Below are 21,558 nucleotides of genomic sequence, written 5' to 3'. Positions count from 1 at the left end.
CATATTGAAGTTCAGTCATTGAGGGACAAATGAAATAACATTTAGGTGGGAAATTTAGACTAAGCAGCAAGAATGCTTTCCTCGGAGAGCTGAGGCAACATCCCAGAGGAAGCAATGGCATTGAGTCAGTGAGGATGCGCTGCCGGGTTATCCGATGGGAGCAGTACATCTCTTCTGCCTCGACATATCTATTTCTGTAAAATTTAAAGTTTGCGGGGGGATGCATTCCCATAGCAGCTGCAGCTCAGCAGCTTCACGGACATTCTAAGGCACACGTTTTTCACGGTCAGGGTAATTTGTGATGGTACAGCCAGGCACCAGGGCCAAAGGGAATGGTTGTGTGGGGACAGTCACTCGTAATTTCCTGACCTTTTCTTCTGACTGCATTTTAAATCTCTGCCTTAAGAAAGCTCTGCATTGATATTTTGTTTTCTTAATAAGCTAGCAAGGTCATTTTTGCTCTTCTGCTTTTATTTTTTGAGAAATTTGAAAACTGCAGAGCAGTACAAAAAACTTAAGAAACAACAGTGTCTATCCTTTCCACATTGACAGCTCTCATCAGTTTTTATGTCTGCTATAAGTATTTTTAAAATAAAACAATAATGTCCCCTGGCCCCCTGCTCCCCACTCCCCCACCAGCCTGCCACTTGTTCCCTGAGCAGTGGCAGTGTGTTCCTGTGCTGACCTCCCTCAGAGAAGGCCAAGAAAAACTGCAGCCCAGTAGTAGCAGTGCCTTCTATTTCTGTTGATCTTCAAAGAGTGCAGTCACTGAAGACAGGAACCCCCCACCCTCCAGTCTAGGGTTAGGGAGAGACAGGAAGGTATAGGCATCTGCTGTGTCTCCAGGCATTGCTGGAGGGAGTGGGCGAGGGATGGGGGCAGCGGGTAAGCATGGGGGGCCACATAACCTCAAAAATGAAAGTGCCCAGGCCTCTTGCCACAAGGTCCCACTACAGTAGCTGGTTTTTCCGGCTGGAAGGGGCTTCCGTCGTGTGCATGTGACTCTAGTACCAGCGTAGGTTTCCAGGCAGGACTTTCTCTGGCACCCAGAGCATGTGCTGCTGGCAGCCTTTGATCTGCTGGGGCCATGTGAGCTGGAGCTGGTGCGTCTGTGTCAGTCTTTTGCCTTTGCTCCTGTGTCTTGCCCGGAAAGTGGGGCAATGTGAATGCTGTATATTTCTCCCTTGCCTTTGAATTCTCTGAAATGTTGCCTTACTGCGTCTCATTTGAGCTTCACAAAACCACAAAGCTGGTGGTTGGGGGTGGGGGCAGGGTGGTCCTTATTTCACAAATGAGGATTCGGAGAAAATGAGCCAAGTGTGGCATTCGGGAGCCCTTGTCTAGGCGTTGCTTCCTGCCCCCTGTTTCCAGATCTTTCTGAGCCCATGTTCAGCATGAAGCTGCTGGCCAGAGTGGATGCTCAGACAGCCTGACCTTGCTGTCCCCGGCCTCAGCAGAGACAGGCAAGAAGCCTGGCTCCCTGGGGGCCTGGCCGTCCTCACCTGCCACAACATGGCTGGTGTGCTCACACACACCCTGCCCCACTCCACCTCTCCCTGCTGGGCATTCAAGTTACTTCCCTTCCACACAGTCTGTTTTTCATCCTGTGTATCTCTCATGAAATGATAACCACCTTAACTGTTGAGCTTCAGTAGCTCGGAAAAGGTAAAACAACAAAAGCAGCTCTAAATCCTCTGCCGGTTTGTTTGGACGTGTGCCTGGCAGGAGTCCCATGACGCCACTCTCAGCAAGGGTAGATTAATGAAAGCTGCTTACCTTTTCCAGATGGAAGCCCTCAGGACTCACAAGCAACTGGGAAATTCTCAGATAGTGGGAAGGGGGCACGGAGCAGCCCTCCAGGTAGCAACAGAGACCAGTGGGCTGTGACGGCCCAGTAAGGGACTTGCAGGGAGACAGCTCTGTGTCCAGGCCAGATTTCTCAGTGGGACCGAGCAGCCCCGGCACCCATGGCAGAGCCTGATCGCTTGGTCACTTGAGGAATTTTGCCGCCAGTAGCTGTACCAGCAAACTGTTGAGCAACAAATTTTGTTTCGATCTCCTAATCGTGTTTTGGAAATGTTAATGAAAACAGGTATGACTGAGGTTCCACTAGGAATCGACTGTGGAGCCAAGTCTTCCTCAGCTCTTCCCTCACCCTGTGGGATGCTCCAACCTCTCTCTCCAGGTGGATCTGGTGGTGCACCCGTCCATGGACCAGAACGACCCTCTAGTGAGAAGTGCCATCGAGCAGGTCCGCTTCCGGATCTCCAATTCAAGCACAGCCAACAGGCAAGTGGAGGTGCCCGGGAAGAACCCATAGCAAGGCTGCCAGGTCTGTGTGTCAGCCTACAGCAATCCAGAAGAGCCCTTTCTTTATACCTGCATGGATCAGTGAATTTGTTGGTTTGGAGTTCATGGTTCATGATCTCCTAGTCTCAATAAGGACCAATTTCAGGATTCTTTAGGGGGAAAAAAAAAGTCCTAATGGTCTTTATTCTGTCTGATAGAGTGTGGACAGAGCACTCCCCATCATAGGCCTCTGATGTCTGACACTCACTCAGTCTCATAATGGCTCACAGTGATTCTGGTTGCCTTTCTCAGATCTTTTCTAATTTTGTTCATAAACCATGTAATGAGCTGAGAGAAAACTCAGGGGAGGGAGAAAGTTCTCAGCTGTGTCTCAACTAGAAACTCTCACAGGCAGGCAGAGGGCTGATCTGGCTTGCACATGATAGTTTGTGGGATCTGCCAAGTATTGGCCACACATACTTTGAATCAGTTGCTGGTTAATTTCTCATATAATTACTGACTTCTAGCGTTGATGCACATGTCTGAAGATCTAGCACGTTGGGTTCCCTTTCTCACAAGGCAGCACCCATAAGTGGGGGTGCCCTCTTCAGGGCCCCACAATCCCCACCACCCCCAAAAGTTTCAGTGACCTGACATTTTGTTTGCATCATCTCCCTGGCCCCTACAAGGAGCAGAATTTGAAACCCCCAGGCCAAGAGGCTGTATCTGATTCATGCAGACAGACTCTGTCCTTTCTCTTAGCCCTTGATTTTCTCAGTACATTATTGCATGTTTATTTGAACTGCAGGGTTAAAACTTCCCAGCCTCCAGTGCCCCAAGGGGAGGCAGAAGAAGACAGTCAAGGAAAAGAGGGCCCAAGTGGATCAGGGGACTCTCAGCTGAGTGCTTCCTCTAGATCAGAAAGTGGACGGATGAAAAAAAGTGATAATAAAATGGGCATAACCCCGCTTAGAAATTATCACCCCATTGTAGGTAAGCTGCAGCTTCTTGTCTGTGTTTAGTTACATTTGATTTGTTGTTTGTATGACAATGTTTGAGGCACTTGGTCCTCTCCATTTGAGCTCCGAGCCGCAGTCAGAAGAATCGCGTCTGAGCTGTGGGCTGGATCCTGTTACTCTGGCCGCATAACTTCTTCCAGCATCTGTTTGTCTATCTGCAAAAATGGGAACAATTCTGCCTGCCATACCCTACAAGGCTTTGGAGAGACTCAGATGAAATCCTGCTAGATCCCAATATGAGGAAAGATTAATTTCTTCTGCTGAATGTCCTTGAGCTGGAACATTCTACAAACTACAGAAAATTTCTTCCTGTCCCAACTCGACAAATCCCCTGGCAGCACAGTCATTGATGAGTCTGAGTGCTCCTATAATTTCCTCAGAGTTGGAGCACTGATGGGTTCCCTCATCCCTCATTTCTAAACTTGTGCTGAACAAGGCAGGTGGCCATGGCATTATAATCAGGATGCTCAGCTCCTCTCCGGGCCATAGCACATGTGCTGGTTCAGGAAGGAGGGCAAACTTGACTCACCGGGGCCCGGCTGTCTGTCAGGCAGCGTCAGGTCCAGGACACACTAGACCCAGGGATTCCAAGTGGAAGAGGTTGTGTGTGTGACTTCCCTTTCCTAGGGCTGCAGCCCCACGGTGTGGCCTTTACTCTCAAGGTTTCCCTGTTAGAAGGCACAGGTGAAAGAGGAACAGCAGCATGAGTGCATGCAACTAGACAGCATTTGCACTCGAATGGACCAGGGGCAGCGCGGGTGTTCCTCGGGTGGGCCTTCTGACTGCCTGTCCTGCACCCTCTTGCTGTGCCTACCTCCTCTCACAGCCATCATCTCTCACTGGGGAAAATCAAGCAACAGCGCATTTGTATCAACAAAGAAATAAGCCCCTTTAAAAGAACTGAGATGGCTGGGTATGGTGGCTAACGCCTGTAATCCCAACACTTTGGGAGGCCAAGTGGAGCATATCATGAGGTCAGGAGATCGAGACCATTCTGGCCAGTGTGGTGAAACCCTGCCTCTACTAAAAATACAAAAATTAGCTGGGTGTGGTGCCTACAGTCCCAGCCACTTGGGAGGCTGAGGCAGGAGAATTGCTTGAACCAGGGAGGTGGAGGTTGCAGTGAGCTGAGATCATGCCACTGTACTCCAGCCTGGGCAACAGAGCGAGACTCTGTTTCAAAACAACAACAACAATAAACAACAAAAACTGAGATTATGGAATATTTGGCACAGTTCTCATCAAGCCAGAAATCCTTATCCAGTAGCTTCTTAGGCCCTCTGTTAGGTCGTTCTTATTATAAAGGCATACCTGAGGCTGGGTCATTTGTAAAGAAAAGAGGCTTAATTGGCTGACAGTTCTACAGGCTGTATAGGAAGCATGGTGCCAGCATTTGCTTGGGTTCTACTGAGGCCTCAGGAAGCTTCCAGCCATGACAGAAGGTGAAGGGGGGCAGGCACATCACCTGGCAAAAGCAGGAGCAAGAGAGAGAGTTGGGGGAGGTGCCACACACTTTTAAACAACCAGATCTCATGAGGATGGCACCAAGTCATGAGGGATCACCCATACCCAGACGCCTCCCACCTGGCCCCACCACCAGCACCGAGGATCACATGCCAACATGAGATGTGGAGGGGCATCCAAGCCTTCCCACCCTCCTTGTTGGTTCCCTGCTCGATTGCCCTCCTGCCGCAGGTGCTGCACTCTGCTTCCTTGCTCCACTTCCCCTTCCAGGAATGTGCGGGGCACACCCCCACCTCAGGCCCCTTGCATTTGCCCTGTAGGCAAGCCCCAAGGGTTCTGCACTGCCAGCAGCTCCTTCACCGACTGGAGTTCACTCTAAGGCTCCCCAGTGAGGCCTCTCCTTTTGTAGAATTGCAGCCCTCCTCCCATCTGTGCTTTATTTTCTGCACCAGCTGTTTTCGTCTGATGGGCTATTTTAGATATTATATTTTATTATCCGTTCTTGCCCATTAGAAAGTAAGCTCTAAGACAGTAAGAATATTTGCCATCTTTCTGGCCCCTGGCACATAGTGGCACTCAATCATTTTTTAATGAATTAAAACTGAATTCAGTATGGGATTTTTCAAGCACCGCCCTCTCCCTCTCTTGCTTTAGTTCCCGGACTGGGGCGTTCTCTAGGATTTCTGCCCAAAATGCCTCGCCTGCGGGTGGTCCACATGTTTCTGTGGTACCTCATCTACGGGCACCCTGCCAGCAACACCGTGGAGAAGCCAAGCTTCATCAGTGAACGGAGAACGATAAAGCAGGAGTCAGGCAGGGCAGGCGTCCGGCCGTCCTCCTCTGGAAGTGCCTGGGAGGCCTGCTCTGAAGCCCCATCTAAAGGCAGCCAAGATGGTGTCACCTGGGAGGCTGAAGTGGAGCTTGCCACGGAGACAGGTGAGAGGCCCCTGCCACTCCTGCACCTGGGGCGGGCAGGCCCAGTAGTAGGATCCAGGGAGAAACATGATAGTTCCTTTTCCTTATATAAACTGGCTGCAGCCTCTGATCCAAATGGAAACATAATCCACACTTCCTGAACCTGCAGGCTTTCTTCCTCATCTTCCTTCCTGCCTGACAAGTAGAGTTTTCCTCAAATTAGGGGTAAAGACACCAAGACCTCCTGGGAGATGACGTTACCATGTGTCACCATGGTGACTGGTATCCTGGCTGCCGGGGGTAACCGTGCGTTTTTTTCCTAGTGTATGTCGACGATGCCTCGTGGATGCGCTACATCCCCCCAATCCCAGTCCACAGGGACTTCGGCTTTGGCTGGGCTCTCGTCAGCGACATCCTCCTCTGCCTTCCCCTCTCCATCTTCATCCAGATTGTGCAAGTCAGCTACAAGGTATTGGTGACAGGAGCCATTATCACAGGAATTGCCCCTCAGCTCTGGGCTGGAGGGCCTACACTCACCTGGGCAAGGGAGGATACTTGAAGACCCGGTGTTGCCCAGATGAATGGATTGGTGGATAGATGGATAGGCAGATGCTCATTCAAGGGAAAATATTTTAAGGATTTGTTCGAGATAGATTAGACTAGATTAGATTAGAAAGATGATTGGGTGGATGGGTGGGTGGTTGGCGGGTAAATACTTTAAAGACTCGCTCTTCTAAATGGATCTATTGGTAGGTAGGTAGACAGAAAGACAATTATATTACAACAATAAAACGTGGTTTTTTTTGTTTTTTTTTTTTGTTTTTTTTTTATGAGACAGAGTCTTGCTCTGTCGTCTAGGCTGGAGTGCAGTGGCGCGATCTCTGCTCACTGCAACCTCTGCCTCCCAGTTTCACGCCATTCTCCTTCCTCAGCCTCCCAAGTAGCTGGGACTACAGGCACCCACCACCACGCCAGGCTAATTTTTTATATTTTTAATAGAGACGGGGTTTTGCCATGTTAGCCAGGATGGTCTCAATCTTCTGACCTTGTGATCCGCCCGTCTTGGCCTCCCAAAGTGCTGGGATTACAGGCGTGAGCCATTGCACCCGACCAAAACATGTTGTTTTTAGAAATTTGGTAAATAGAGAAAGATAAAATAGAAATTACCCATAACTGTATCACTCATAGAGATAATTACTACTAAGTAATTATCTTCTTGGTAAGGTTTTTGTAGTCTTTTATTGCTATGCCATACTTGTATGTACACGGGTATGTGTGTGATCTCCCTTTAAAAAAAAAAGCTGAATTGAAACTATATTCACTCTTTTATTGTCTGTGCTTTTGACTAAAGAATGTTTTGTATTTTTTGCATCATTAACTTTTTAGACTTGATATTAAGTAGAGTCATAGTATTCTTATGTGTCTAATTTATTTAACCATAATATTTTCTATTTTTGGACATTTAAATTCCACTTTCTTACTACTGTTGAGTAGGTATTTATTATGACATGTTGATGAATACCTTTTGGGTAGACATAGATTGGCGGCTCCAGCATTTTTTCCTTTGGGTAAGGATAGGAGCAGAATCACTGGCTTCAAAAGGAACGCGTGTTCTCTATCTCATCTTTTCTTGTTTAAAATATAAATGTATATATTCTTATGTTGCCCCCGGGAAAGGTTTAGCAATTTCTATGCCTACCAGCAGGGTATGAGGGCACCTGTTTATTGCCCTCTGCAGTGTGGTAGATGGGCTGGAGGGGAGGGGCAGCGAGGCCAAAGGCAGAGATGCAGGGGCACTTGGTGGGGCAGGAAGGAGAGCCCAGTGGGCAGGTTCAGGGAGACTATGGTCAGAAAATAGTGGCGAGCACTTTTTCAAGATTCTTGCAGGTCGCCCTGGCCCTCAGGGCGAGCTGAACCTGCACATCACCTCTTCAGGTGGACAACCTGGAGGAATTTCTGAACGACCCGCTGAAGAAGCACACGCTGATCCGCTTTCTCCCCAGGCCCATTCGGCAGCAGCTTCTGTACAAGAGGTGAGGCCATTGAACCTGACCCAGAGTAGTCGCAGGTCCAAACAAACCCTTAAGTCAGGGCTCTAAGCCATCATTCACCAGGAAGAGGAAAAGGTTTCTAACTTCCAGCTTGCAAAAACTCAAGATTTTTATTAAGTTATTAATATTAATGAAGTATGGGCTGGTATATTTTATTACTTGATTTGAAGGTTCTTTTAAAGTAAAATCTGCTGCTAGTGTCTGCAAGTATCGGAATTTTTTTTCCCTTTCATTACTTTTACTTTCCAAATCAAATCCCTAGTGTCGGGTTGATCTCTGTGGCCCTGGTTGGGTGTTAGGTTGGGTAGTTCTGGGCCTTAGTGCAGTGTGGGCTTGAGGCTGGTCCTCCAGTGACCACCAGGTGGAAAAGAGAAGAAGGAAGTCGCACCCCTCACCCCACATGCAGACCCCTGCGGCCGGCTGCGAGTGTGGTGTGATGAGAACCTCCCGCCCCCTCTGTTTTCTAGGCGTTACATTTTTTCGGTGGTGGAGAACCTTCAGAGGCTGTGCTACATGGGGCTGCTACAGTTTGGTCCCACGGAAAAGTTTCAGGATAAAGATCAGGTAATGTCCCTCAAGCCCAAACGAAGGAAATTCTGATTGTTAAACGGTCTCCAAGCAGCCAGACCCAATGTGGGTTCTCCCTGTCTGGTGTCTCCCCTTAGGTCTTTATCTTCTTGAAGAAGAATGCAGTCATTGTTGACACTACCATCTGCGACCCACATTACAACCTGGCCCGCAGCAGCCGGCCCTTCGAGAGGCGCCTCTATGTCCTGAACTCAATGCAGGATGTGGAAAACTACTGGTTTGACCTGCAGTGCGTCTGCCTCAACACCCCACTAGGTGGGTGTCGGCTGTCTCGGCTGAACCTGGCTGCTTTTGCTCCTTTCTGTGTGCTAACTGGGATTTAGGGCTAGAAAAGCCTAGGAGTTGCCTCAACCAGTGGTATGTTCCGAGTGCTCCCCAGAGGCCCAGAGCACCCCTGGGGCTCCCTTGGAAAGGAAAGTGGCGGGCCTTGAATGGGTGGGGTGCTTCCGGTTCCCCCACTCAGTTGAGCCCAAGTAGCTGCACTTTGTCTTCATTTGTTCATTGAGTAGGTATTTATTAAACACACCGGCTGTGTGTCACTTCCTGTGCCTGACAGTGCCACAATGAGAACACAGCCCGCCCTGCCTTCGTGAGACTCAAAATCTAGTGTGAAGAGGAGACACAGCTCACAGGAGTGCAGTGAGGGCCTAGGTGTTGGTTGGGGTGGTGTTTATTCCAGGGCTCGGGAACAGCCTTGCTGAGGAGGAGACATTGGAGCTGAATTCTATAGGATGAGGCAGAGCCAGCCAGGGCCAGAGCTGGGGAGGGCATCCCAGGCAGGGGCAGTGACACAGGCTGAAGCCTTGAGTGGTATGTTGGAGAAAGAGAGGAGGCCATGTGGGTAGGAGGAGAGTGGCCGTCCACTGGTGACAGTGAGGAGGACAGGACAGGCCTAGAGGTGTTTTGGAGGGAACTGATCAGATGTGCTGGTGACTTGGCTGAGTTGGGCTTTGTGGGGAGCCTCTGCCCACACCCCTCTCTCTCCCTAGAAGGACCCTCCCTCCCACACTGGCTTCTCAGATGCCCACTCCTACTTCAGGTGTCACCTCTCAGAGAAAGCGTGTCCACACCTTTATTAGCATCATTCCATTTCATCTTGGGAGTTCCTTGTGCCTAGAATAGTTGGCTTCCATCCCCATGATGTGTCGCAAAGTGTCGGGTGCACAGTCGGCATCCTGTAAATGTGGATCAAATGCATGGAGGGTCTACGGAAGGCAAGAGAGCCTCCCCTGCAGTGCTTTTCCTCCAGGCCTTTCTCCACCTGGCCTTTTCCTGCCACCTCTACCAGGAGAGAAAGGAAGCCACGTTCAGCTTGCACCTCCAAGAGGAGTTCCATTCCGCTCCTCCCTTCTTGAAGCTGAAAGATCCAGTATCACACTTTGATTTTTGCAAAGTGGGAGTCACACATTTTGCTTGGCAGAATTATTTAATGCCAAGAGTAATAGCACTTGTATTTAGAAACTTTCATGGGTCCAGACGTATTTTAGAACAGTGTGTTTCATAGAATCCTCTGGCATTCAGCAGTGAGCTAGGCTTTTGCCAATTTAGATTTTAATAATGCCCTAATTCCCCTGCATTTTATATCTAGATAAAAATTTGTGAACCAGCATGAATTTGCACCAGAGTTTTTCAGGCCTGACAATTGGTGAATTTCCATCCCTTTAGGTGTTCATGAGCAGAAATGGCAAAGGCTTATTGAGCCCCAGTAATCAGGCATTGATTGTCCCTTCATTCAATAAACATTTGAAGAGGTTCTACCCCCAGGATGAGGGGAAAAGCGTCATATAATGAGATGCAATCATCTTTTAGAGCAGGTGCTGCATGAACATTAGCCTGCGTAAGAATCACCTGAGCAGCATATTAAATGCTGATTACTGGGCCCTACCTGGAGAGTCTGCATTTTTCACAAGCAGACTTGTGGTGCTGCTGTTATTTATATGAGAGAAGCTTTGCCTTAAATATTGTTAGTTTCAAGGGTCCATTCAAACGGGTGACCTTGGGCAAGCTACTTGTAACCTCCCTGAATCTCAGTTTATTTCTAAGCTGAGAACTCCACTGCCACCACCATATGGGCCAAGGTGAAGTTGGGCAAGGCGTCTCAAGTAAAGTTCCAGCTGCTGTGGGTGAGGCCCTGAGCTCCCACTGCCCCGGGCCCCACCGGCCATGCCATCAAGCCGAGGTCTCCAAGCATGCTAGGAGAGAGTCTTTGAGAGTCTGCAAACCTTCCCTCACCTATCAAGCAGTGCTTTTAGTGGTATTTTATATTTCTTTGCAAGAAATGCAATTTTCTGTATTACAGAATAACTGGATATCATTTCTCAACTCCATTAGCAAACCTCTTGAGCACTTAGGAGACATCTGGCTGCTCCTGGAGCCAGGTGGGGCCCAGGCCTGCTGCGTGCAGTGCATCTCAGCAATCTGTCTGTACAGGCCCCTCCGTATCCCTGCCACCACCAGCAAGGGCAGTCGTTTCTGCCACCTTGGCCCCAGCATCTCCCGGGGCTTTCCAGGAGGCAGGAAGGCCTGGGTTTCCCCTGCGCTGGACTCCCTGAGCCTGCCGGGCTCTCTCGACTGCCTTGCCTGCCTTCTGTCTTCAGTGAATTCAGCCTGGCATAGACCCTTTCCTTAGGTCACCCACCAGCACTCCAACTCTCTTCCTCTGTTCCCTCTGACTTTCTTGTATGGATATTTTGTACGAAGAGGTCTTACCAATCTCAGACCCCCGCAGTGGCCGGGGAGCCTTTTCACAGGCAGGGAATCCACTCTTCTTCCCCACCCAGCCAGAGGTAGTAGCCACCAGAGCTGCAGCAGGAAGGCGTGATTGGTCACCCTGATGTTTGGTTTTCCAGGCGTGGTGCGCTGCCCGCGCGTCAGGAAGAACAGCAGCACAGACCAGGGCAGCGACGAGGAGGGCAGCCTGCAGAAGGAGCAGGAGAGCGCCATGGACAAGCACAACCTGGAGCGCAAGTGCGCCATGCTGGAGTACACCACGTGCGTGTCCGTCCCAAGCGCGGCCGGCCAGGACTGGGCTGCGGTGGTGCTCATTTCAGATGCCTGCCCGCCCTTGTCTGGCTTAGGATGTCAGGCCAGACGGCCTGTGTCTCCGGTGCAGAGGCTGCAGATGGCTGGCTCCAGACATACTTTATTTAGCCCACATCTTGTTTTTAAAAATGTAATCGGTTGTCAAAATTTATTTTGGGAATTTTATATAAAAATCTGGATTTTTGACTTATCTTGCAAAAGTGAAAACCAGTCAACACTTAGGGCCCCCAAGTTCTTCATTGCTACCTGTGGGGTGTTTTTCTGGAAAGGTGAAAGTTGGTTATAAATAAATGTCCCTCAACCCATGCCATGGGCTCTCTTTTTCGGTGATGACCAAGAAGGGCTCTTTTCTGTTGATTTCCTGTCTTTTAGTGGAAGCCGTGAGGTGGTGGATGAAGGCTTGATCCCTGGAGATGGGCTGGGTGCCGCAGGGCTCGATTCCAGCTTCTACGGACACCTCAAGCGCAACTGGATCTGGACCAGCTACATCATCAACCAGGCCAAAAAGGTGGGTGTGCGTCACACCGGACTACAATCTCAGGGGTCCTCGCTACTCACCCTCCTGTCCCTCCCTGCCTGACCAGAGACACAAATACTGGCTTCCGTTTGTATTGAAGGTGCGTCAGGCCCCTTAAATGTGTGCCTGGCCTGTTTTATTCCCAGTGGATGCTAACTTACGCTGTGACGTGGACAGGTATTCCTTTTTAAAGAAGGATCAGAAGGTCTGGGTGACACAGGTCCTCCAGGAGGGAGTGCATGAGCAATGGTAAAGCGGGTGGCAGGAGACTCCAGCCCCTGGCTGTCAGTGCACAGCGGCCCTTACCTTCCTAAGAGACCTCGGTGCATTTGTTACTCTGGGCGGCTGGGGATTTGTGGAAGCTCATGCTTCATCCCAGTGCTGTGCTTGTCTCACAGGAGAACACTGCCGCAGAGAATGGACTCACAGTGAGGCTCCAGACATTTCTGTCCAAGCGCCCAATGCCCCTCAGTGCCAGAGGTACGTGTGCTGGGAGTTCACCCCAGAAGTTAATATGGTACCAGTTCAGGGCCTAAACGACTACCCTATGTTCGGTTTGGTCTTCCTGGCCTTTGCAGCACTCGTCCTGAAACTGTTGTCTCCTGTGATTATGTCTAGGCAACAGCAGGTTGAATATTTGGGGGGAAGCAAGAGTAGGCTCCGAGCTCTGTGCTGGCTGGGAAGAGCAGTTTGAGGTGGACCGAGAGCCCTCGCTGGACCGAAACCGGAGAGTGAGGGGTGGGAAAAGCCAGAAGCGGAAGCGGCTGAAGAAGGACCCTGGGAAGAAGATCAAGAGAAAGAAGAAAGGTTATGTGGTGATCATTTTCATTTACTGGGCCTTGTCTTTGTTTTGGCTTGGAGATGTGCGACAGCCTCACTCCAGCCAGGCCTGAGCTCTGCCCTTCAGCACGGGTTTCCGCCTTCCCTCGATGTGTGGCGCTGACTCTCTATGATGGTTGCTTTATTTCCACATCCATTTGGCAGATGAGAGAGACTCGAATATCCCGTATGCTTCCCCTGCTTTCTCCGCCTTTGTATCTTTTAGAGCTTCTGACTTTAGGAACTCATTCAGTTCAAATGCCTAGTTTCATCTCAGCTGAAAAAAATGTCAGCAACAGCCTCATCACAACTAGCCAAGATCCTAATTTTGGGGGAGTTTACCTTTTAATATCTGTGTTTATGCTAATCAGGCCAAAGTTCAAAGGCATGTTGCATTTTAATTTTTTAATTTTTATTTTTTTGCGTCAGAGTCTCACTCTGTTGCCCAGGCTGGAGTGCAGTGGTGTGATCTTGGCTGACTGCAACCTCCGCCTCCTGGGCTCAAGCAATTCTCCTGCCTCAGCCTCTCAAGTAGCTGGGATTACAGGCGTGCGCCACCACACCCGGTTAATTTTATATTTTTAGTAGAGACGGGGTTTTGCCATATTGTCCAGGCTGGTCTGGAACTCCTGACCTCAAGTGAGCCGCCATGCTGGTCCCATGTTGCATTTTTAAATTAGAGGAAAGCTGGGAGTCGTGTAAGCCTGCAGCACCTTCTGATTTGATGCACCCCTTGTGCGGTGCCTTTTAGACTGCCATTTTGAGTTCTTCATCCGGCCAGTATTTATAGCAGAGGGAGTGGAAAGGAGACCAGTGTCTAGTTTTTAGACCACTTTCATATTGCCTAAGTGGTCCACAAGTTTTAACAGCAGCCACTGACGGCTGGTAGCTATTTCAGTTAAAGACAGAATGTTTAAACAGGAACCTGTTTTTAGTGGTTTATTTGGCTGGCGTTCATAACAAATAGCATTCCATCAGTTGAAATGGCCCCCTCAGTTTCGCCTGTCGTAGATATGTGTAAGACCAATTTGGCTTAAAAACCTGAATTCATCACAATGCAAAATGTGGTGGTGTCACTTCGAGTCCAAATTTCCTTTCCCCACTTTTCTTCTGCCTTAATTTGGAAGACACTCGCTAAACAGTCTTTTGAGATTGGCAGTGGCATATGGTGTCTGTCCTGTGAAGGTGCTATCAGTACCTCCCCTGGGCAGGAGACCTTGGCAGCCCTGTGGCTACGCTCTCAAGGTTCAGATCCTCCCTCTGTTGCTGACTCAGCTGTGTGACTTCAGCAAGTCACTGTATGTCTCTGTGTTCCTCAACAAAAAACAGTGATAACAATTGTATCCATTTCATAAGGTTGCTATAAAGTAGTATTCTAATTATAAGATAATATGTTGAAAAAGCATAAACCAGTGCTAGGCACACAATGAATATTCCCTGATGCTAGACTGCTGTTTTGGTGGTGGTGGTGCTGTTTAGTTATTAACTACACCGATCTCACTGCTGATGTTAGTTATTTAGTAGCCACCACTGTGTGCTGGATGTTTTATATGCAGTCTCCTTCCACCCTCTCCATGGCCCTGGAGCAGAGGCCTTATTGTCCCCAGATGCACTCAAGTCTACACAACGCCCGTGTGGTCACAGAGCAAGGGAGCGTGGGGGCCTGGTGACTGCACAGTCCCTGGTCCTGCTCACTCGGTGGGTACGCCCCGAGCACGCACTGTAGGCTTCTGTACAAGATGCCTTCAAAGGACTCTGTCACAGTGGGGGAGATTGGAGATTGGCAGATAACCAACTAGAGGCTGCATTGAGCCTTCCAACCTGTTGCTGTGAAATTTGATCAAGATAAATGATGAAAGGGATTTAAAAAAAAATAAAATCTATCAGAAGGGGCTGGGTCTTTTGCAGTTAGTTTATGTGACTTTAGATACAATGAGTATCTGCTAACCAATACCATTAGTCACATCTCACTGGCTGGGTAGGGAACCTGCCCCTCTGCAGAGTGACAGCTCCAAACCAGGTGTTAGAGGTCTCCTGCCTTCTCCCTCTGGTGTTTTTAGGAGAGTTCCCAGGAGAAAAAAGCAAAAGGCTGCGCTACCATGATGAAGCCGACCAGAGTGCCCTGCAGCGGATGACGCGGCTTCGTGTCACCTGGTCTATGCAGGAGGATGGGCTGCTTGTGCTGTGCCGCATTGCCAGCAATGTCCTCAACACCAAGGTACCAACCAGCCCAGCCCAGCGGTGGGCCTGCCCCTCACTCGGAGCTCCTTCCTGTCTGAGCCTTCCGGGGACTCCCAGCCAGAGACCACTCCTCTCAGCTGCTCTGCTTCGCCACTGGGAAAAGCATTGCCCAGAATCCTACACATTTTCTTTTTTAGAAAGATGGAGCCTTGCTCTTTCACCCAGTCTGGAGTGCAGTGGCACGATCACAGCTCACTGCATCCTCAACCTGGCCTCAAGTGATCCCACCTCAGCCTCTCATAGTCCTGGGACTACAGGCGCACCCTGCCATGACCAGCTAATCCTACAAATTAATACCATTCTGTTTTTCTACATTTCTTTTTAGCTTTCAGCTGCATACATATAAATGTTTGCCTAGCTGCAGGCAAACTAGTTCAGAGCTGTTCTTTCTCTCTCCTCACCAGTAGTCTAACCCTGGCCTGCTCCTTCCTCCCACCTTCATTGCCTGAAAAGCTCCAATTTACCTTCCTGTAACTGCCCATCATGTCCGGAATGATCTGCCAATTGGGCGTAATTACCCTGCTCATTCTCTGTTCTTGGCCGGATACTTCTCATGCTGTTTCTGTCACCTCTGGTACCTCTTGGCTCACCGGCGTGGCTGGTCCACAAGGCAGCGAGACCTCTTATTTGCCTTCCAGGAAAAAGCTCTGCCAGTCCAGTCCAGGGCCCCTTCCAGGCAGTAGTGCCACAAGGCAGCTTTGGAGGAGCCCGGGTGTGCCTCCGGGTCTCAGCCAGGCCAGGCAGGAGAAACCCAGCTGGGGCTTTGTGCCCAGATGCTCCTTGCCTGCCAACTATTAGATCCCTTGTCTTGACCGCTTGTCCCCTGTTCTCTCATCCCTCAGTCCTCTCCTGAATTCCATCCCAACCTCTTTTCCAAGGAAGAACCTGAAAGGTGACATGTTGCCATCCCTAATTTCTGTTCCCTGCATCTGCAATGGCTTCGTCATTGCAGAGCTGATGGGTAAGTGGGGCGTCCCTCCATCTGCTCCAGCTCTGGTGCAGCTGGAGGAGGCAGGAGGGTCCTGCATAGGTCAGTGTTGATGGACTCTCGCCGCTTACCAGAACTTACAGACTTTTTGGGTCACCTCATCCTTGGGGATGTAAGAAAATAACTCGTCAAGCGGCTTTCTCATGTCGGCCTTGCCTTCCTGTGTTATTGACCAAGATGTTCTCCTGGGTCTGCTAATTTTGTACATTCTGCTTCTACTAACATAACATACAAGCACAACATACAGAACGTTTCTGAGCACACATGATGCATAATTAGGACACTAAGACCTCTAACTAAACACACTTTGCATCCCCATGATTCCCTCTAATACAGCGCCCTTTCAGGCAGTTCCCCCCCGCCCCGTTGGGCACCTTTGTCACACATGGCGCTTGCTAAAATACACTCTTTCCCGCTGGTCACTGAGGCCTCGTCCTATACTTGTCTGCCCAGAATCTCCCTCAGTGTCTGGCACATGGTGGGCCCAGTAAATATTGTGAGGTGACAGTTGTGGGGATTCTCTGAGGAAGGAGGCTGCACAAAACACATTTTGTCCACTTTTTTATGGTAATTCCCCATGATGTCGTCTCTGAGGATACTGACTTTTTGTCTTGGCTCTGTGTTTGATCCAGGTGAAGGGCCCATTTGTCACCTGGCAGGTGGTACGGGACATTTTGCATGCCACGTTTGAAGAGTCTTTGGATAAAACATCTCATTCCGTTGGACGAAGAGCTCGCTACATAGTCAAAAACCCACAGGCCTATCTCAACTATAAGTAAGCCTCATTGAAGCCCCGTCACTCCGGGACACGGTTACGTTATCCCGTTTGCTTAAGAGTCTGGTGGGAAGTGTGGCTGGAGCACACTGAGGTGTCTGATGGGCTGGCCAAGTGTTGGAGTCTGCTGGGGAGATGGACCTTGGTTTTTTGAGGGTGAGGGCCAAGCATGATTCTGGGTGCTTTCCCATGCAAGGTATTGCTTAGACCTTATAGCGGCCATGAGAAGTAGGTGGTGGTATCCTTTTTTTGGATGAAGAAGCGGAGACTAGATAGGCTGACTCGCTAAGTACCACGTGCCTAGCTGGTGGTGGAGGCAGAGGCAGAGGCTGGCTTTTCCTGCTGTTTTTGGCCCTCAGAGCAGTTCCTGAGAGCTCTGATTGGTGGCTCCCTCCAGCAGCAAGCTAGGCAGGACCTGGGATCATTGGACAGGATGCCCTCTGCCATGTTCTTAGCAGAGCTGAGAACTGTCTTCCTGCCCTGCCCTTGTGTGTGTGACCTCAGGGAGTCCCCTTGCCTTACCAGGCTGTAAAGCGGAATGAGTCTGTACCTGGCAAGCTCTTTATGAAGGCAGCAGTGCCTGGTGGACGGGAGCCCAGCAAATGCTGGTCGCCTTCCCCTTCATTTTCTTTTGGGCAAGTCAGGCTCTCCTTATATCATGGAGATGTGAAGGTTAGTGGAGTGGACACACCTGCTTTGCAGTAGATTAGAGAGCTTAAGAATAATAAACCCCAAAGCCTGTTTGATGTTTTTAAATGTGTGATGCACTTTCACATAGGTCAGCCCATATGGTCCTGGACAAACCCCTGTGAGAGACAGTTTGGGACTCAGTGTTCTCGGTTACCTATGAAGGACGGAAGTTCAGAGAAGCCAAGGTGTAAAGTGTGAACAGACCTGACTGAGGTCAGGCTTGGCTGACCCCAAATCCTTCATTCGTAAAAGCTGCAGTTGTGCAACAGGCATATAAGTAACTCATGCTTCAAGGTCGGCCAAGGCCAGAAACATGAGAATGGAGCTCTCTGAAGGTTCTGAACATGGGCATCATTGCAATTCCCAGACTTCAGCTTTGTCTCCTCTTCCTGCAGAGTGTGCCTGGCCGAGGTGTACCAGGATAAAGCACTTGTTGGAGATTTCATGAATCGAAGAGGTGACTATGATGACCCAAAGGTAGGTCCTGTGTGAGTGTAGGGCTTGGTATGCTTGGGAGATTGGGGCAGCTAGACTTCAGTCAGCTCCTCTCATCCCACAGTGCCCCTGCCAGCCTTAGGAACGTGGACTTTGTTTCCTGCTCACTTGAGAAATCACCGAGTCAGCTCTCTGGTGTTGGCCTTCACTTGATCTGGCTTCAAACACCTGTTTTTAAAGATGATTAGAATCTGACAGGCCACTTTGAAGGGCTGCTGTGCCTTGGGCCTGTTTTGTTAAGAAAATAGAACATTTCTTCAGAAATTACAGGCTTCCTAGAAAGCTCGCAGACTGGGTGTGGGTTTTCTTTCCGAGTTTTCTGTCCAGAGGGGCCAAGGCGGTGGCTGACAAGGAGGGAAGCTGTCTGCTGACCCAGACTCCTGCCCTTCGCCTCAGAGGCTGCTCATCTTTCATTTCTGTGCTAACCCTGGACACTACAGTGTGTGTGGCAGGACTTGTGCCAAGTGAGGCCAGTGGACAAGGAGAGGCTACCTTTTCCGCCAAGGAGGCCACAGGCGAGTGGGACAGACAGAGAAGTACATGGCCATTGCAGGACAGTGTAGTCAGCTCCCGGAAGAGGAAGGCACAGGCCCACAGAGGTCAGGGAGGAGGCTCAGCAATGCTTTTGGATGGAAGTGACAGAAAAACCTAACCTAATGAGAGTATACAGCTTCCTTTTTCCCAAATGCCAAGCAGTTGAGGGTAGGCAGTCCTGGTCTGGTGCAGGGGAGCAGAGATGTCATCAGGCTCCCAGGTTCCTGCCGCCACACTCCCCTCCAGGAGCAGTGGTCAGCTTTCCATCCTATGCCAGTCACCCCCTGGTTGCAAATGTTGACAATGAGAGCTCAAGTCCTCACAACAGAATTCCAGAGCAGGAAGCAGTGGGGAGAGGGGCTGCAATAGACCCACATGGCCCTTGTATCAGGGGACAGCCTTTCCCAGGAGCCCCTGGCAGACCTGGGCCACGTGGCTGGGAAACAGTGGGACATAGCACAGGGGACTCAGGCTGCCATGAGTGGCTTAAACTGTCCTGGTGTATCCTAGGAGACTGGGCATCCTCCCTCCCCACAGCAAATTGAGACTGGCTAATCAGAAAGTGTGGGGAAAAATGGAATAGGTGACCCACAGACACCCACAGTGTCTGCCAGTGGGCTTAGTAAAGGTGTCAGCACTGGGCGAGACTGGAAACCACGGCAGCTGGGGCAGCAACAGTGAGGGGAGAGGGAGCCGTGGGGCTGGCAGGCACAGCAGCCAGATGCAGCAGGGGCTGCGTCCTACATAGCCACCAGGCCAGGGAGGAGCGGGAGCATACCATGTCGCATTGCACACTGGGTGACGCAACCAGCTTGCTCCTCAGATCTGGGTCTGGACTGAGATGATGCAGTGCGCATATAGAGGAGGAAATTGATTTGGGGGCCACCCGTGGAGTGTGAGGCTGGGGCAGAGGAAGGAGGCTGACTACATGGGTGAACCAGGGAACACCAGGCCTGGGAGGAGGGAGGCTGTGAGGGAGCACTGTGTGGGGCACGTTTGAGTCATCTCACCTGGGGCTTGGGAGAGTGCCAGCGATGCAGGGTGAGGCTGTCGGTGGGTTAGTTGGCACCAGGTACCCCAGTTTCCTGAGCGTAGTGGTGAGGGTCTTTTGCCTCCTCTACAGACCGAGCTTCTCAGATGACAGGTGACAGATGACAGGTGACCAGGGGAGGCACCTGGTCAGTGGTTCTCGGACTTAGCTGGTGCAGGAGTTTGTTACAAGATATTCCTTGGTGCATCTTAGCAAAACCTCCCTTTAGGAAGAGTAAGGGCTTAACCTCTCATGCTCTCATGTTGAAAGGTTTGTGCCAACGAGTTTAAAGAATTTGTGGAGAAGCTTAAAGAAAAGTTCAGTTCAGCCCTAAGGAATTCTAACCTTGAAATCCCAGACACACTCCAGGAGCTGTTCGCCAGGTAAGCCGTTTCTGGGATGGTTCCATGTGGCCCTCGCAGGGCAAGAAGAAAAGGCCAGCCCTGTCTCCCTTATCAGCAGGTCCGGGAAGCGCACAGCACCTGCCTGGCTGCATTTGGCCTTGCAGTGGCCCTCCTGTCTCTCCTCTCATGGGTGACTTGAACACAGAATGGGACCTAGCACCCTGCCGGGCATTTATGTTCATTCTCCCATTGGTCCTTCAGGCTTCCTTGTTTGGTTGGTGTACTTTTTGCTAGGTTTGCTTACTTTACCTTTGAGGAAATTCCTATGTAAGTAACGTGCCCAAGGTCACAGTGCTTGTAAGTACCAGGGCCAGGATTTGAACATAGGAGGGTCTGTAACCACTCGGCATTTGGAAGAAGAATCTTGGGTATGAGCACAGAACCCTGTACAATTTTTAAATCTTAAGTTCTGTGAACTAGGCCTGTTACCTCAGCATCCTCCAAATGTAGATCCCTTTTCTCCACCATCCTCACCCAAAAAGTCCCTCGAGCCACTGTTTTTCTGAATTTCTCCCTGTAAAATGATGGCATCCATCAGTTCTGCCTGTGAACTGTACAGCACCCTTGCTCTCAACATTTCAGTTGAAGACCTCATTCCTTCATTCACTCAACAGATAATGTATGTCTCACCCACTGTATTGCCATGCCTAAAGAGCAGTTTGTACTCGTTTTCAGAGTTGATATCCTTTGCCCACATTCTGGGTTTTGTTTCTGGTTTGCAGTAGACTGTTCCCCAGAATTCCAAAATGGCATGGTTTCAAGTCAATCCAATGGCCTGTTTACTGATTTGTAATTTATATCTCCACATATTCTCAGTAAAGTTATGGGGCAACTTTTTTTTTTTTTTTTTTTTTTTGAGATGGAGTCTCACCCCGGCCCCCCGGGCTGGAGTGCAGTGGCACACTCTCGGCTCACTGCAAGCTCCGCTTCCCAGGTTCACGTCATTCTCCTGCCTCAGCCTGCCCAGTAGCTGGGACTACAGGCGCCCGCCACCAGGCCTGGCTAATTTTTTTGTATTTTTAGTAGAGACGGGGTTTCACCGTGTTAGCCAGGATGGTCTGGATCTCCTGACCTCGTGATCTGCCCGTCTCAGCCTCCCAAAGTGCTGGGATTACAGGCATGAGCCACCGCACCCGGCCACAATTTTTAATCATAAAAGAAGACAGAGATTTTTAAAGGAGAGCCCATGAACCATTTAGAGAGAAGAAAAAGTTGCAAGTGTAACAGTTTAATACTGATTGTGATCCTGAGCATTCTGGCAGGCAAGGCAGAATAGAAAATGGTTCCAAGCCAGGTGTGGGGGCTTAACACCCATCATCCCAGCAGTTTGGGAGGCCGAGGCGGGTGGATCACCTGAGGTCAGCAATTCGAGACCAGCCTGGCCAACATGGTGAAACCCTGTCTCTTCTAAAAATACAAAAATTAGCTGGGCGTGGTGGCACGTGCCTGTAATCCCAGCTACTTGGGAGGCTGAAGCAGGAGAATCACTTGAACCCAGGAAGCAGAGGTGGTTTTCACGTTTTCTGAAAAGTTTCTTTTTCTTGGCACTAAATTATAAGAGGAATTTACTATTGCAGTCAAGATTAATTTTTCTGTTAGTTTGTTAGAAACCGAAGAAATGTCCTACAAATGGCCAATTTGTCATATTTTATAAAAAGGCAGTTCTATGACTTATTCTTAAATTTACTTGCTTGGTA

General features: G+C 49.9%; 1 protein-coding gene across 4 annotated transcripts in view; it reads left to right on the top strand.

Moving 5' to 3' along the window:
* The window catches only part of GTF3C1 (general transcription factor IIIC subunit 1), an 89,301-nt gene that overhangs the window by 48,995 nt on the left and 18,748 nt on the right, over positions 1–21,558 (top strand). For 2 of the 4 annotated variants that reach the window (NM_001286242.2, NM_001520.4), the window contains exons 13-27: positions 2,186–2,289; positions 3,098–3,282; positions 5,427–5,708; positions 6,011–6,156; positions 7,623–7,720; positions 8,206–8,302; positions 8,404–8,581; positions 11,176–11,317; positions 11,741–11,876; positions 12,284–12,365; positions 12,504–12,692; positions 14,765–14,922; positions 16,566–16,708; positions 17,794–17,875; positions 19,728–19,840. In NM_001286242.2, coding sequence (NP_001273171.1) covers positions 2,186–2,289; positions 3,098–3,282; positions 5,427–5,708; positions 6,011–6,156; positions 7,623–7,720; positions 8,206–8,302; positions 8,404–8,581; positions 11,176–11,317; positions 11,741–11,876; positions 12,284–12,365; positions 12,504–12,692; positions 14,765–14,922; positions 16,566–16,708; positions 17,794–17,875; positions 19,728–19,840 — 2,135 coding nt within the window. The remainder of the gene's footprint in view (positions 1–2,185; positions 2,290–3,097; positions 3,283–5,426; positions 5,709–6,010; positions 6,157–7,622; positions 7,721–8,205; positions 8,303–8,403; positions 8,582–11,175; positions 11,318–11,740; positions 11,877–12,283; positions 12,366–12,503; positions 12,693–14,764; positions 14,923–16,565; positions 16,709–17,793; positions 17,876–19,727; positions 19,841–21,558) is intronic. The other 2 variants (XM_047434036.1, XM_017023188.3) reach the window with 1 other exon arrangement.

This window comes from Homo sapiens, chromosome 16 (assembly GCF_000001405.40).
Source record: "Homo sapiens chromosome 16, GRCh38.p14 Primary Assembly".
NCBI classification, from domain to species: domain Eukaryota; kingdom Metazoa; phylum Chordata; class Mammalia; order Primates; family Hominidae; genus Homo; species Homo sapiens.
The sequence above is the reverse complement of the archived record's forward strand: the minus strand, read 5'-3'. Positions and strand labels throughout refer to the sequence as shown.